The following is a 17195-nucleotide window of genomic DNA, read 5'->3' as shown; positions in this document are numbered from 1 at the left end:
TTATCTCTGTGTTCCTCTCTTCAACTGTGCAGGGGATGGTCTGGTCACGTGCACCACCAATGTGAAGTAGAGAAGAAATTGAGGTTCTTCACCCACTGTGGGGAAGTTCTCCCCGGGGTCTGGCTGGGTCCCAGTGAACAGGAGCACCACCCCAGATCGGTGAAACTAGCAGGGCCTTTCTGCTGGGCCTCTCTTAAATGCCCCTTGGGGTTAGCCTTTTGTCATGAGTCCAAGGTTATTCGGCAATTTTTCCTCACAGGCAAGAGGCACGGAAGGCACCACGCAGCCTTCCCAGGGGCTCACAATTTTGAACAGAAAATATTAGGTTGGTGCAAAAGTAATCGATTACATTTGCACCAACCTAGTAATACAAGGCACACATCTCTTCAGGGCAGTTCTCATTATATTTGAGTTTATTCATGTGGCCAAATGATGAGCCAAGAAAGGAGGGATCAGTGTCATTTCTCAAAGACTGCCTGAAGGAGGATGCTGCCTCGACAGGAATCTTTTTATACAATTGATATCAAGGCATTACATGTTAAGAACTGTCAATAACAGTTGAATATAAATTCTCCTGGAGGAGAGTGGAGAATTCCTATTTATTTCCTCAACCAGGAGCAGCTGAGTCCTGTCATCTGACCGGGTGGCTCCCTGCATTCCCTGATGGGAGCCCAGCTAAGCTAAGGTTTGCCTACCTTGCTGGGTGTTACCTAAGGCTCAGGGAGGTTTCCAGCACCCAAGGCCTTCCGCTGGGAGGCAGGGGCCCAGGTGTGCAGCCGCCAAGCCTCTGGCTTCCAACATTCTTTCTCCCTCTGCCTGTCCTGACAGGGAAAAACACCCCTGGCATCCACACGAAGGCCATCCAGAGCATCACTTCCTGCAACCCCGACCTCCAGAAGGTTCTCTTTGGCCACATGCTACTGTCCGGAGGGACGGGCTCCTGCCCCGGCTTGCGATTCCGGATGCAGAGAGAAATATCTGAGCTGGTGTCCCCTACAGTTTATGTGAAGGTGAGGCTTCCCCAACCCATCCCCTCTGGGAGCGCTTCAAATTCATTCCACAGATGTACCTTGAACGCATCAGATACGCCAGGCACGGCTCCTGGCACCTGGGAAGTCCTTCTGGGAAGTCTTTGGAGCTTTCACTCTAGTTGCCGGGGGAAGCAATAAACGTCATGAATAAACATGAAGGGGACATGAGTGGCATGTCAGGAGGGCTGTGATCCATGGGGAAAGTGCAGCAAAGGACGGGGTGGGAGGGAGTGTGGGCAGGGCCGGGGGTGCTGAATACAAGGTGGGCCAGAGTGGGCCTCCTCAAGAAGAGGACATTGGGTAAGCACTTGAGGTAAGGGTGAGCCATGTGGATATCTAGGGAAGAACATTCAGCCATGGGGGGAACAGCCCATGCAGTGGCTCAGAGGCTTGCTTCCTGGAGGAAGGGCAAGGAGGGGTTGGCTGGGGCCGAGTGAGCAAAGGCAACAGGAAAGCAAGGTCAGAGATGCCGCAGAAGGACATCCATTCCAAGAGGGGCTGGAAACCCCCGGCAGGGTTCAGCAGAGGAGAGACATTGTCCAAGTAGGCTCTGGAGAACTGCTCAGGCTCCTGTGCAGAGAGTAGATGTCATAGGGACACAAGGTGTGGACAGTCAGGACATTAGGACTGTTGGGATGTTGGGACTGTCAGGACATTGGGACTGTCAGAATGTTAGGACTGCCAGGATTTGGGGACTGCTGAGATGTCAGGACTGTCAGGATGTCGGGACTGTTGGAATGTTGGGGCTGTTGGAATATTGGGACTGTTGGGATGTCGGGACTGTTGGAATGTTGGGACTGTTGGAATGTCGGGATTGTTTGGATGTCGGGACTGTTGGGATGTTGGAGCTGTTGGAATGTTGGGACTCTTTGGATGTCGGGACTGCTGGGATGTTGAGACTGTCGGGATGTTGGGACTGTTGGGATATTGGAACTGTTGGGATGTTGGGACTGTTGGGATGTTGGGACTGTTGGACTGTTGGGACTGTTTGGATGTCGGGACTGCTGGGATGTTGAGACTGTCGGGATGTTGGGACTGTTGGGATGTTGGGACTGTTGGGATGTCAGGATTGTTGGAATGTCAGTACTATCGGGATGTTGGGACTGTCAGATATCGGGACTGTAGGGATGTTGGGACTGTTGGGATGTCAGGACTGTTGGAATGTCGGGACTGTAGGGATGTTGGGACTGTTGGGATGTCAGGACTGTTGGAATGTCAGGACTGTAGGGATGTTGGGACTGTTGGGTTGTCGGGACTGTTGGAATGTCAGGACTGTTGGGATGTCAGTACTATCAGAATGTCGGGACTGTCGGAATGTCGGGACTGTTGGAATATCGGGACTGTCAGAATGTCGGGACTGTCAGGATGTTGGGACTGTCGGAATGTTGGGACTGTTGGGATGTTGGGACTATCAGGACGTCGGGACTCTTGGGATGTCAGGACTGTTGGAATGTCAGGACTGTTGGGATGTTGTGACTGTCAGCACGTCGGGACTGTTGGAATGTCAGAACAGTCAGGATGTCGGGGACTGTTGGAATATCAGGACTGTTGGGATGTTGGGACTGTCAGGATGTCAGGACTGTTGGGATGTTGGGACTGTGAGAATGTTGGGACTGTTGGGATGTTGGGAGTGTTGCGATGTTGGGACTGTTGGGATGTTGGGACTGTCAGGATGTCAGGATTGCTGGTGTGTGGGACTGTCAGGATGTCGGGGCTGCTGGTATGTGGGACTGTCAGGATGTAGGGACTGCTGGTATGTGGGACTGTCAGGATGTCGGGATTGCTGGGATGTGGGACTGTCAGGATGTTGGGACTGCTGGGATGTGGGACACACCTGGCCTGGCTGGCTGGGGCAGGAGGGGCAATGTCACTCACTCATTTCCAGTTGAGCTCAGCAGCTGTCCCATGAATGCAGCCTCCCTTGGTTAAATGAAAGCACTCTTCCCCCGTGGGAGCCCCACCCAGGTTTGTCCCCAGTGGACACTTTCTCTGGCTTCCTCTGTGTCAGAGGCCTCACAGCCTCTGATGTGGGGTCTTTGGGGGCTGTCACTGCAGGGCATCCCTGTCGAGCTGGCCCTGAATCCTTCCCATCTCACCAGCTGGCCCTTGAGCTGGCTGCAAATCCCACAGGCCAGTTGTAGGGCGCTCTGTAATGGGGTCTCCTGCAGGTGCACAACAGACTCTCACCAGAGGGACACCATCACTCCCCTCGGGCCTGTCACCAGGGTTCACAGCCACCCTTTGTATGCTCCGTGTGGGCGGGGCAGGGGGGCGGGACCTTCCAGACACCAGGGTGGGCAGGGGCGTGAGTGGCCATCTCAGCACTTCTTGTCCTCCCTAGACCTGTCTTACTGCCCTTGTCCCCTCCACTCCAGCCGCCAGCTTTGGAACAGGACACTGCAAGGTGACTTCCTCCAGAGTCTACAGGCAGGAGGCAAGGACTTACTCCCTTTTGCCCACAGCCCCCCAAACTTTTCTCGAAGATTATATCACCCTATCACCCATCACTCTCACCCCCAACCCTAGGGGCCTCAGATCTGGTTGCAGGCAGATGCGCTCAGAGGGAAGGGTCTGGAACGTGTCCTCAGAGCATCTTCAGCTGCCTCTGAGACTCTCCTTGCCCATCTGACAGTGTTCCCTGTACCCTTCCTGTCCTTGCTCTATAGACCAGGGTGAGATTTGAAAGAGAATGCACAGCAGTGGTGCCTGTCCCAGGTGGTCCCTAACCCTCCTCCGTAGCAACAGACAAGCATCAGGAATTACAAATGCATCAGCCAGGATTACACAAAATATCTTCCTACTGCCTTGTCACTTCCCAAGTCTTCAGCCCTCTTCCTGTAGGCCATAAACATTCATGGGATGCTGTAAAACTGTTATCCGTTTCCTTCCTCCCTAAGTCTGCAGCTCTCGTTAGACCATCTTATGTTATATCATAGGCATTTACATTCTATTAAAACCATCACCCCTCCCACCTTCTCACTCCAAAGCCCTTGGCTGTCACTTCATAGCCTGTTTCTGGTCTCCCTCCTCTCAGCTTTCTGGACGACTCCAGGCTCTTGTGTGTAATGAACTTTGACTGAATCAGAACAGAAGGCTACTGCTTAGCCCAGCATGGAAAACAAATTAAAATTGAATATCATACTTTCATAACTTCCTTTTTTTCTCTTTCCTTTTTTTTTTTTTTTAAATAAGACAATGTCTCACTGTCACCCAGGCTGGAGAACAGTGGCATGGTCACGGCTCACTGCAGGCTCAGGTGATCCTCCCACTCAGCCTCCCAAGTAGCTGGGACTACAGGCGTGTGCCTCCATGCCCGGCTAATTTTTTTTGGTTCAGGTCTTGGACTCTGGGCTCAAGTGATCCACTTACCTCAGCCTCCCAAAGTGCTGGGATTATGTGCAAGCCACCATGCCTGGCATACTTTTATAGGTTTCTTGACCACATTTGCAAAGGGGATCTTTGGGCCATCTCTGTCCTGCCAGCATGTGGCTGGGTTGCATTTGGTCCAAGCCCTTTCATCCTTCTGAGTCCTCAAGGTGCCCTCCACTGCCTCCTCCCGCCAAAAACTCTCCATGAAGCTTGATGATGACATCGCCCATTTCCCATTACTTGGCAGTGATTTAGCTCTTCTCTGCATAATTTCTCTCCATCTAAGCCATCTCTGAAAGAGGTACAGTGGTAGATTCTCCTGTAAGCATCCATAAAGCTCATTAAATTGTTGCCTAAAGAAAATCCTCTCCCTGAAATGAGTTCATCATCCACCTTGAGAGAACAGCTCGTTTCAATGGGGGCAACTTTTCAAATAATTGTTTCTCCCAGCAGCCTAAATCTGCTGTAATAAATGTTCTTGAGCTAAAACTCTGCCCATTATTCCCCCTTATTTCTTCAGAATGTTATTTTACCCTTAGATCCATTTCTAGATGTGGATTTTGGAGTCAGAATCATGCACAATTTGAGGCTTTTTGAATGGATGACCCAATTGCCCACAGAAACACTGAGGCTCCCATCTGTCCCGGCGAGGGCTGAGCCAGCTCTGGACCACGTCCACGCCAGCACAGTGTCCTTTGTTCTCAAAACCCCTGGGCACCTGGGTAGATGGAGAAGAAATGTTTGTTGTTCTTTTCTCTGTTTTTTTTTTTTTTTTTTTTTGTAAACATATTTCTCGTAATTGTTCAATCCAATCCTTTGGCCATCTTCTGTTAGTGATTTGCTATCTTCTTCGTTTTTTTTTTTTTTTTTTGGGACGGAGTCTCACTCTGCCACCCAGGCTGGAGTGCAGTAGCGCAATCTGGGCTCACTGCAACCTCTGCCTCCCAGTTCAAGTGATTCTCCCTCCCTCAGCCTCCCGAGTAGCTGGGATTACAGGTGCCCACAACCACGCCCAGCTAATCTTGGTATTTTTAGTAGAGATGGAGTTTCGCCATGTTGGCCAGGCTGATCTGGAACTCTTGACCTCAGTTGATCCACCTGCCCCGGCCTCCCAAAGTGTTGGGATCATAGGCATGAGCCACTGCACCTGGCCAATTTACTTTCTTCTTAACACACACACCATCCCAGTCTCCATCTGGTTTTGTGTGTTTGTTTAGATAAGACGCAGATGAGGTCATCAACTGATTGAGGTGACAGCCCCTCCGTGGAAGAGGCTCCCGGGTGCCTGCGTCGGCCCTTTCTCTGCCTGATGCCCTGATCCTAACCATGCCTTTTTTTCCCCCCTCCTGACTCTTCCTTTTTATTTTTATTTTTTTAGCTATAATGATAAATCTTTTCTTAACCAATGCCAGCAAGTGGTTTCCAAGCCAAGCGCCATTCTGTGGTGTGACAGAGCCGGGAGACACTGGGCAGTTGAGTCGGGGAACCACTCTTCCTTCCCTCTCACCTAAGCCTTGGGTTTCCCAAATCTCCATTCAGCGCTTCGTGCCTGCAGATCCCTGCAGCGAGGCATTTGCTCCATGTCTTAGAATCCTAAGCATGTCCTGTTATTATCTACCTAAGTGCCTTAAAGAAAGTTAGTGAATGTGTGAAAATGACAAGTGTCTGACCTGGAGCGAGTGACCTTAAACTTCCTGAGCCCCAGGGGCCTCTTTTTAATTATTTATTTTTTATTTTATTTATCTATTTTTTGAGATGGAGTTTCACTCTTGTCGCCCAGGCGAGAGTGCAATGGTGCCATCTTGGCTCACTGCAACCTCCTCCTCCCAGGCTCAAGCAATTCTCCTGCCTCAGCCTCCTGAGTAGCTGGGACTACAGGCACCCACCACCATGCCTGGCTAATTTTTTGTATTTTTAGTAGAGACGGGGTTTCACCATGTTGGCCAGGGAGGTCTCAAACTCCTGACCCCAGGTGATCTGCCTGCCTTGGCTTCCCAAAGTGCTGGGATTACAGGAATGAACCACCATGCCCGGCCTTTATTTTCATTTTTTGAAACAGGGTCTGGCTCTTTTGCCCAGGCTGGAGTACAGCAGCACAATCACAGTTCACTGAAGCCTCGACCTCCCAGGATCAAGCAATCCTCCAGCCTCAGCCTCTCAAGAAGCTGGGGCCACAGGTGCACACCACCATGCCTGGCCCCCTGCATCAGGCAGAGAAAGGACCAATGCCAGGCACCTGGGAGCCTCTTCCACCAAGGGGCTGTCACCTGGATCAGTGACAAATGGCTGTAGAGACTTTCACTTCCTCCTAGCCCAGAGGTGACCTGACTTGGTATAAGAAACACTACTTTCTCTCTTAAAATAGAAATGGAAAGAAATATACACTTTATAGGTGTGGTCATGAAAAGAGGAGCCTAGCAATAGAGAGAGGAAATCTTGAAAGCTCCCCATCACAATCTAGAAGGAATTTCTCCAGGGGGTTTAATGACTGGTGATTGGTTGATTTTGCTTATCTGTATTTTCGAATTTTTCTACAAAATACCTACCTATGCCTTAGGCACCGTCATTCTATATGGATAAAATGTGTTGCATGTTTTAAAATGCCAAGTGTACGAGTCCTCTGTGCTCTTATTCATTTTATCTAATTGTTTAAAGCTACAGGCCGGGCATGGTGGCTCACACCTGTAATCTCAGCACTTTGGGAGGCCGAGGCAGGAGGATTGCTTGAGGCCATGAATTTGAGGCCAGCGTGGGCAACGTAGCAAGACCTCATCTCTACAAAAAAAATTAAAATATTAGCCAGGTGTGGTAGTGCGCACCTGTGGACCCAGCTACTTGGGAGTCTGAGGCTGGAGGATTGCTTGATCCTGGGAGGTCAAGGCTGCAGTGAACTGTGATTGTGCTACTGTACTCCAGCCTGGGCAACACAGAGAGACCCTGTCTCTAAAAATAAAAAAAAAAAAATAAAGCTACAGGAAGTAGGCATGGAATGTTCGACATCTTTAATGGCAAATCACAGATTGTATTTGCCAGGAGGGAGAGACAACTGTCCATGAAGTTCTCTCAGGGGTGGATGTTTTGTGTCCACACTTCAGAGTAGTATTTTGATTTTGCTGTCTTCTCTTTTCTCCTGCCCACTCCCCACCTCCCCTTCCCTCCTCTGCCCTCCACTCTCCTCTGCCTCCTTAACCCCATCCAGGTGGCCACCTGTCCGTATTCTGTCTATGGAGCTTGGGTAGGTGGCTCCATCTTGTGCTCACTCTCCACGTTCAAGGATATGTGGGTCACCAGCAAGGAGTACAAGGAGATGGGCTCTTCCATCATCAGTAGAAAAAGCTTCTGATGTGTGGCTTTCAGGACCATGTTGCCTGTGCCTTCGACACCAACTGCAGGATGAGCCTTGTTGTGGCTGAATTGAACAGAGCTCAGAACCAGCTCAAGGGCAAAGGCACTTCCTCCCCCAGACTTCAATAAAGAAGGTCAATAAAGGATGGACTCTGTCTTTTTGTCTGGGCTCAGCTGGCAGAAGCACAGGACACTCACTACGCAGTGTCGCAGGACACAAGCTGCATGAATGCAGAGTAGTGGAGGAGAGGGAAATCCTGGCTCTTCCTGTGTATCAGTCAGGAAGGTGAAGCTGTGCTGCAGGAAGAAGCATCCCCCAAATCTCAGTGCCATAAAACAAAAGTCAGTCTCTCCCTCATGCTGCATGTCCACTGAAGGTCAACAGGGGCTGCCTCCTACATCATCCTCCCTTAGAATCCAGTGACAGAGCAGACCATCAGAGACATTGTCATTCATTGTGGATGAGCAGAAGAGTGTGCTGGTGGGTCTTACATTGGCAACTAAATACATTAGTCCAGAAAAGCCACAGGGCACATAGCCATGATTAACCACAACAAATCACATGGCCCTACCCAACCACAAGAGGCAGGAAGTGCCATCCTACCACAGGCCTGATGTACCCACATGGGCAGAACAGCATGGATACTCTGGCCTCTTGAAGGCACGATCGGGGCAGTACCCATAGCACTCACCATGCAAGGGGCATTACATCCTCCAATGAATTTAATCCTTATGACGTTTCTGTGAGGTTGGTTTCATTATAGCTGATTTCATGAAGCAGAAACTGGTGCTAAGAGAAGTGAATTAACTAGATCAAGGTTATTTAGGTGTAACAGGCAGTTTAAATCTGTAAATAGCATCTAGTAAGAGTGCCAGAGGAGAACAGAGAGAACTAAGGAGAGGAAGAAACCAACCAAACAAATAGAAGACACATGTTTTCAGTGTAGAGGGGCCACGGAGGGCTGCACAGACCCAAGGAAGGGTCCTGCTTGCAGACACTAGTGGAATTTCAGAATATCAAAAATAATGACATCTAGAGGCTTTGAGAGAAATCAGCAAACGCAGGTTAACTTAAAGTAGGGTGACTGGAAAAAAACCCAGATTACCCAGTTAAATTTTGAATTTCAGAAATGTAACAAATTTTTAGTATAAGCCTGTCCCAAATGTTGTGCATTATCTCTGCTTGCTAAATCTGGTGCCACTATCACAAGGGAAAGTGACTCCAGTTATTATTATTATCAGAATTCTTGACTGCAAATTGTTGTAGAAGACAAGACAAGAAAACCATCAAGTTAAGAGGAAGGATTATTTTGAACCTAGAATCTCATACATTTTCCAATAGGTGGAAATGATAAAAAAAAAATAACTTGGGGACAGGCAAACACTCTGAAAATTTACCACCTATATGCTCAGGGAAGTCACGCCTGCCCACATGCAGGCCACAGACCACAGCGGCAAGGATGACCAACGAAAGGATGGCATCCTCACTCTAGACAGTCAGGTGAGGAGCTATCTTTTCTTCCTCTTTCCTCCCTACGCACACTGGAGCACACAGTGAAGGGAAGAGGGAGGGACATAAGATGAACAGGCACTCCAGCACTCCTCACTCAGCTGCAGGAGTCAGGGCTGGGGCAGTAGGAGGGAGACAGAGAGAAAGAAAGAAAGACCTACCATCAAATACAAAATTTATTCATCTATCCAACCACCCACCCATCCACTCATTCAACAATCCATTCATCCATCCATCTACTCATCCACCCATCACCCATCCACCCTCTCCTCCATCCATCCAACCATCTCCCCACCCATCCATTCTTCCTTCCATCCACCCACCCACTCATTCATCCATCCAACCATCTCTCCACCCATCCATTCTTCCTTCCATCCACCCACCAACCCACTCATCCATCCATCCAACCATGTCTCCACCCATCCATTCTTCCTTCCATCCACCCACCCACCCACTCATCCATCCATCCAACCATCTCCCCACCCATCCATTCTTCCTTCCATCCACCCACCCACTCATCCATCCATCCAACCATCTCTCCACCCATCCATTCTTCCTTCCATCCACCCACCCACCCACTCATCCATCCATCCAACCATCTCTCCACCCATCCATTCTTTCTTCCATCCACCCACCCGCCCACTCATCCGTCCATCCAACCATCTCTCCACCCATCCACTCTTCCTTCCATCCACCCACCCACCCACTCATCCATCCATCCAACCATCTCTCCACCCATCCATTCTTCCTTCCACCCACAGTCAAGGCTGGAGCAGTGGTGGTACGGGGAAGCATAGAGGGAGAACGTCCTTGAATCAAATATGACATTAATATTTTAAAACATATAGGACCAAGCTGTAGAAAATATTAATGAGACTGCCCCAGCCCTAATAAAAGCATAACTTGCCTTACACCAGCCTTGTTCTAAGTGGTGTGCATAGGTTACCTACCTCAGTCCTCACCACAAGGATGGTGGAAGTAGGGGCTACGGTTATCCCTATTCTAGAGAACACAAGTGGAAGCACCCAGTCACACAGTTAAGAAAGTGGGGAGCTGGGTCTCAACCCCAGGCAGGTATAGATCTTAGCCTGCTTCCCAGTAGAACCAGAAGTATGTAAACAGTAACGAAATCAGCATGAGCCATCAGCAATCACTCAGGTTGCCTGCTGCCTGATGGGAAGAGCAGGGGTGAGAGGAGGGGTCAGCACAGCTGGAAGCAATTGAGAAAAATATCCATGTTTATAGCACAGTAAATCAAGAGTACTCAATAACTGGGGCCCACACACATTCACTCAGAAACCTGGCTTGCCTGATTTCTCCAAAGGAGTGTAATTACCAGCATTCAGCAAGTTATTTATACTATTCCAGAGTGTTTCTCCTATTAAAAACACAACAATTAGTGATCCTAATAGTCCATTACACTTAATCTGATGCTGAAAATTGCTTCATTAAAAGCCAGTTGAGAGACTGGGGTAAATAACTGTAAACCCAGTCCCCAGATGATTTCTGTGTTCCTGGAGAGTTGATTCTTACCCCAAGGTGTACCAGCCAATGGGCAGCTCAGACCTCAGGGATAATCATTGCCCAAGAGGCCATTTTGTTCTCATGTCTCAAATTATGGGACTCATTATCCCCCAGCCCTACACAACAGCAGTAGAAGAGGTGGTAAAAGGGTCAGCTGGGGCCATTCTGTCATCCCCAGGTCAATCCTGCAATAGTTGGTTCAACTGCAGCAATCCTCTCCAGCCCACACAGGATGCAGCTCTGGGTACAACCTCTTGTCCCAGCCCAGCCTGTATCCATGCACATCAGTGCTGGCTGCTCAGGAACATAGAGGCCAGCCTAGAGATGACTCAAGTGTATTGTTTTCTATTCTTTATTTTTACCATTCATCCATGTCCATCCATCCATCTGCCCAGCCACCCATCATCCATCCATCACCCCATCCATCTTTCCATCGTCTCTCCAACCATTAATCCAACTATACATACAGCTCTACAACTGTCCATCCATCCAACCATACATATAACCATCCATCCATTCAGCTATCCATCTATCCATCCATCCATCCATCCATCCATCCAACCAACCAACCAACCAATAATTCACTCATTCATCCACTCCTCACTCATTCATTAAATACTGAATTGGTTCTTTTTAGTCAAATTACCTGTACTTGAAGTCTAGTTCTATTATTAATTAACTGTGTGTGACCTCCACCAAGTTTCTTTTTTTTTTTAATTTATTTTTAAAGAAAAGAGGTTTAATTGGCTCACAGTTCTACACACTGTACAGGAAACATGGCAGGGGAGACCTCAGGAAACTTACAACCATGGCAGAAGGTGAAGGGGAAGCAAGTACATCTTACATGGCTGGAGCAGGAGGGAGAGAGAGAGAGGAGAGATGCTACACACTTTTAAACAACTATATCTCGTGAGGACTGTATCACGAGAGCAACACTAGAGGGATTGTGCTAAACCATTAGAAACCACCCCCATGATCCAGTCACTTCCTACCAAGCCCCATCTCCAACATAGGGGATTACAACTGAACATGAGATTTGGGTGGGAACACAGATCCAGAGCATATCAGGGTGTTTATTTGCAAATATGTTGTTATTTTCTAGTTCTGTAGTGATCTGATGTCTGCTATAAATGTCTGCTGTGAAGGCGACACTGGCATTGTTTTTCCTGGCCATTGTGTGGTACATGGCATAATGGAGTCTAGCGCTGACTCCATTGAGTTGGAAGGTGATTATGGAAGACACACAACCAAACTCTCATGTATGACATGTGTAAGTAAAGAATAAGCTGCTGTTCTTACTGAAGCTCTATGAATGTGATTTCAACCCATTTGATTTCAAACGTATTGCCTTAAAACATTAAGAGCATTGAAAGCTTAAAGGGAGTTGGCCTAGTGTTTGAGCAACTGAAGCACATTTCTTATATTTCTATATGGTGCAGTTTCCTCATCTATAAAACGAGGGGAAATAATAATAATCAGTAAAATGGGGGAGTCAAAGAGTTAATCCCTGTAAGAGGCTTAGAAAAGTGGTGTGGGGATAATAAGTGCTTAACAAATGTTAGCTGTTGTTATCATTATCATAATTATTAAAATTCACCAAGATTTATTGTCAGTCAGGATGCTATGGTTTTAAAGAGATGTATAGATAAAGTTCTGGAATTCAGAGAGCCTATTGGGGAAGGTGTCAGGGAGCTGGCAGCACGTTCAGGGATCATACAATACTAAATTTTGTTCAGATTTCAGGAGAAGAGGAACTTAACTTTGGAATCTGGTAATTAAACATTTCCAGAGGAAACTTTCTTAAAATACTACTTAAAAATAAGGACAATACTGTGATCTTACTCATATGTTTAATTTCTGTTCAAGTCATTGCTTGGACTTGGTAATTTTTTTAAACAAAGCATGACACAATGTTAAACTAAAGAAGCCCTAGATAAGAAGACTTTTTGAACATACTGAAAGCTTCAATATGAAACCTATCAATTTCCTGAAAGTTAATGAACAACGCAACTTTCAATTTTTGTGTCTCCAAAAAGAATCAGGCCAGATAATCTTCAAGATGGCTTCCAACTCTGGCCAAAGTTATTCTGCATGCACGTCTTTCCAGCATCAGAGCTTGCTTATGTGTAGAAGATTGTTGAATCCTTGACTGAATCCACTGTGTGTGTTCTTTAGAAAGAGGGGCATAGCTTAAGAGGAAAAATGATCATTTACAAATTAAAATGATCCAATGTAATGAGTGAACTGACTTAGTAAGTATTATTGAAGCCCTCAAGTTTGCTGTCTGCCGACCCACATGGTTGGCTCTGGCCATGGAACTCAGCAGCCAGAAGATGAGAGGAGGAGAGGGAAGTGCTGGTCCACCCTGAGCAAGGAGCAGCCAGTCATCACAGTCATGGCAGAAGTTATTATCTCAGGCTCATGGCAGCCACTTTGCTGCACTCTATGTGGGATGGAAGCCTGTATTTTCATTTAAAATTCTGTACAGCACAGAGAAGCCATTGGTTTAATCCTCATTTCAAACAATCCCTATCTTCCTGAGGTTGAAATAATGGGGAAAGGGGAACTGCCAGTCCTGGCTCATTATGTGATGTGTGATTTCAGGGAGGTTGCACCACCACTCTGATACCCCCTCTGCTCATCAGTCATGAGGTGACAATTTGCTCTCTATCCCTATCCCTATCCCTAACTCTATCCCTATCTCAGTCTCTATCTCTGTGTCCACTCCTATCTCTATATCTATCTTGAACCCTATTCCTATTTCTATCTTTATTCTTGTTGTGATTTGAATGCCCCCCGCCAAAATTCATGCTGAAATGTAATTTCCATTGTAATAGTAACGTTAACAGGTGGAGCCTTTAAGAAGTGATTAGGTCATCAGGGCTCTGTCCTCATGAATGGATTAATGCTGTTATCTTGGAAGTGGGTTAGTTATTGTGGGAGTAGTCTCCTGATACAAGGATAAGTTCATCCCCCCATTTGCTTACTCTGTTTTGTGTGCTTGTTTCCACCCTTCACTCTTATATCATGGGATAACACCAGATGCAAGTGCCATGCTCTCAGACTTCTCAGCCTCCAGAACCATGAGCCAAATGAACCTTTGTTCTTCATATAATAAATTACCCAGTCTGTGGTATTGTTATAGCAGCAGAAAATGAAATAAGATAATCCCTATCCCTATTTGTCTTATCCCTAACTCTATCCTCATCTCATTCCTTTACCTATCACTAACCCTATCCCTCTCTGTCTCTATCCATATCCGTACCCTTATCTCTAGCTCTATCTCTATCTCTATCCTTTTCCCAATTTCTACCAGTAGGGCTGTTATACAAATGAGTGTGAAACAGCAAATGCAAGACACTTTGTAAGCGGTAAAGTTCTCAGCAAACTCAGGGAGGGGGATGCTGGCATAAACCAATGGTTCCCAAACCATCCATCAGAATCACCTGGAGGGTCGATTGAAAACAGATGGCTGGGCCCCACCCCAGCATTTCTCAATCAGCAAGAATTTCATTTCTAACAAGCTCTCAGGTGTTGGTGCCACTGCTGATCAGGGGACCAGCATTTCTTGTGGATCTCTACGGTGGTCTTTTTAGGTTATACTGGGACAGGCAAATACTTCCTGGTAGTCTCCACCACAAAAGTAGGATATACTTTGTTAACACTTACAGAATTTTTTAAAAAATGTGTTTATTAATCATGATTATGCTATGAAACAGGTACTGTATTTATTTAACCGATGGACCTAAGTTGAGTAAAAATATTTTTAAGGTGTTCAGAGATAGGGTAGAAAGTTCTAGAACTGCCTTCCTCCAACCTGGTCTTTCCCAAGAACTGACCCAAACCAGGGGCTCCCTTGGGAGCATGCCCTATCTCTGTTTGAACCCTAGCACAGTGATCCTTGGCCAACTGCAAGCCTTGGCAAGTCCTCTTTGCAAAAGCCCTGTGTCTGCACCCTGATTAGTATCACTGGCACTTGTCTGAAAGTGGGCTCTCATTCTCTCTCTTCCTCCTGCCTTTCTCCTTCTGGGCAAATTTGGACAAAAGCTGGCATCTGCTATAATTCACATCGTATGCCATGTCCTCCACCAAGGCTGTGAACAGGAGCCCGGGCATCTACAGAGGGGACTCTATGGAAAGATAAGTAACTGGAACTTGTTTTGTTTGTTTCTCAAACAAACAAAAATCATAATCCTGACTCCATTCTCCTTAATGCACTACCAAGTTCTGTAATTCAGAACAAATGATCATATTCTCACTGTACTGCCTGTTTTTCTCTAAGAAAATATTCCAAATTGATTTTTAACTCATAAGAATTAATGAAGTTGTCGACTTGGCAAAGAGACTTCTGCACTCCCACACTGATTGCTTCATTGTTCACAATAGCCAAATTATGAAATCAACCTCAGTGTCAATCAACAGATGAATGGATAAAGAAAATGTGGTATAGATATAAACAATAGAATACTATTCAGCCCTAAAAAAGAAAGAAGTCTTGTCATTTGCAATGATATGAATGAACTCGAATGACACTATATTCAGTGAAATAAACTGGGCCCAGAAAGCCAAATACTGGATGTGATATCTAAAAATGTCAAACTCATTGAAATAGAGAGTAAAATGGTAGTTATCAGGGGCTAGGGTAGGGGAGGAGGATTGAGGAGACGTTGGTCAAAGGACACTTTCAGTTAGGAGGAATGAGTTCAAGAGATCTACTGTACAACACGATGACTATAGTTAATAACAATGTCTTATATACTTGAAAATTGCTAAGAGAGTAGATTTTAAATGTTCTCATTAGGAATACATAAGTATTTGAAAAAATTATTTTTCTGCCACATATCTAAAACTAAAATAAAGTTGTTAACTTGGGGTTCATGATGGTACTACCATGTACTGTAGTGGATAGTGGGGGGCTGAGATTGGGAAATTGTGGGTGAGCGAGGGTGGAGATCAGAGGGCTTCCCCTCTATCCTAACCTACCCAGTGTCTCCCTGTTCTGCATTTCCCAGAATCCCTTGCAGCAAGCTCCTAATGGAAGCACCTGTATCTAATTGAACGCTCCTGCAGGACAAAGGCTCTGCCAGCACTGTTTGGCATTCCTGCAGGCAAGCCCCCGCACAGAGGTGTTGACCCTTCCTCCAGCAGCTTCCCTATCTGGGTGGCGTCTACAGTGGCCATCTCCTGACTCTGATGGTGGCCTGATTCTGGAGCTGGAGGAGGAGCTACAGCTTCCCAGTTGAGCAGGTGGCTTCCTGTTGGCAAAGAGGAAGCAGCTCCTTTGCTAGCTCGGTTTTGTTTTCAAAGTCGTTCCTGAATATTCAGTTCCACAACCATTTCTTCAGCCTCTCCAATGATTCTATTTGCCCCCCGTAACCTGAAACTAATTCCTTCTTGCTAAACTAGCTGCAGTGCATCCTGTTCTCTGAGACTGAGCCCCAGTGATATAGTGCAGGTATGCATTTCCCAGGGAGATACTCCATCATTCCCACCAGCTTCCTGAGAGGGCAAATATCCGAGAGAGGCTAAGAACCTCACCCACTTGTGATCCACAGGAAGTTCTGGTGGGCTAGCACTAGTGCAGATGTCCTAGAATACTTGAGGGGAATCAAATCACGCTGAACTTGTGGTAATACAGTGCTTCTAAAAAGTTCTTCTAATTTGCATTCTGCCCATCTGGAGTTTCAGTTCCTGGGTCTAATTAACACATTGCTCACCTGAAGCCATTTTCACTTTATATTCAATTCAACAATTCAATGACTTGTTTAATAAACATTCACTGAGTAAGCATTCACCGGACCCTATGCTAGGAGCTGGGGAAACAGACATACCTGCTGTAATTCCTGCCTGGGGGAGCTTAGCTGCTGCATAAGGAGGAGAAAGCCTAGAAATAAAACCACTGCATTTTAAGGCTATTATGGCCACAGCAGAAATTATGTATCAGGTGGTAAGAGGGGAGAGAGAATGAGGCAACAATGTCCTAGGAAACGTCTGTGACCACCAACTGTGGCGACTGCGAAAAGGGCTACAAATTCTTCCCCTTCCATCAGGAACTGGAAACTACTTCTTCATCCCTAGAATATGGGTTGGTCATGTGACTAGCTTTAGTCAATGGGACATTAGCAAACATGATGCAATGTTCCATGGACTAAGGGGTAAAAAGTAACTGTGCATTGGGATTCCTCTCTTGCTGTTCTTGGAAATCCTGCAGCCACCACCATGCAAACTGGCGGATGCACAAAAGACATATGGCCCAGTAACCCCCAGTAACTATATCTGACTCTCAGCTAATCAGCAGCCAACTGCCAAATGCAGGTATGAAACTACCTGACCACCAGCTGCCCACAGATGAATGAATAAGCCCAACCAAAATAAGCAGAGGAACCAGCGAGGCCCAGCCCAAGTCACTGGGCCAC

General features: G+C 46.8%; 3 annotated features.

Annotated features, from left to right (window-relative positions):
* Window positions 328–827: an enhancer, noted in NCBI's record as "H3K4me1 hESC enhancer chr11:71100563-71101062 (GRCh37/hg19 assembly coordinates)". NCBI's record gives its function as "activates a minimal SCP1, AML or CMV promoter by ChIP-STARR-seq in naive H9 embryonic stem cells {active_cell/tissue: H9 hESC(naive)}" and the evidence as "EXISTENCE:reporter gene assay evidence [ECO:0000049][PMID:30033119]".
* Window positions 828–1329: an enhancer, noted in NCBI's record as "H3K4me1 hESC enhancer chr11:71100061-71100562 (GRCh37/hg19 assembly coordinates)". NCBI's record gives its function as "activates a minimal SCP1, AML or CMV promoter by ChIP-STARR-seq in naive H9 embryonic stem cells {active_cell/tissue: H9 hESC(naive)}" and the evidence as "EXISTENCE:reporter gene assay evidence [ECO:0000049][PMID:30033119]".
* Window positions 16402–16451: a silencer, noted in NCBI's record as "silent region_3706". NCBI's record gives its function as "represses an Ori minimal core promoter by ATAC-STARR-seq in GM12878 lymphoblastoid cells {active_cell/tissue: GM12878}" and the evidence as "EXISTENCE:reporter gene assay evidence [ECO:0000049][PMID:35858748]".

This window comes from Homo sapiens, chromosome 11, assembly GCF_000001405.40.
Source record: "Homo sapiens chromosome 11, GRCh38.p14 Primary Assembly".
NCBI classification, from domain to species: domain Eukaryota; kingdom Metazoa; phylum Chordata; class Mammalia; order Primates; family Hominidae; genus Homo; species Homo sapiens.
Note: the sequence above shows the minus strand (reverse complement) of the source record. Positions and strands in the feature narration are given on the sequence as shown.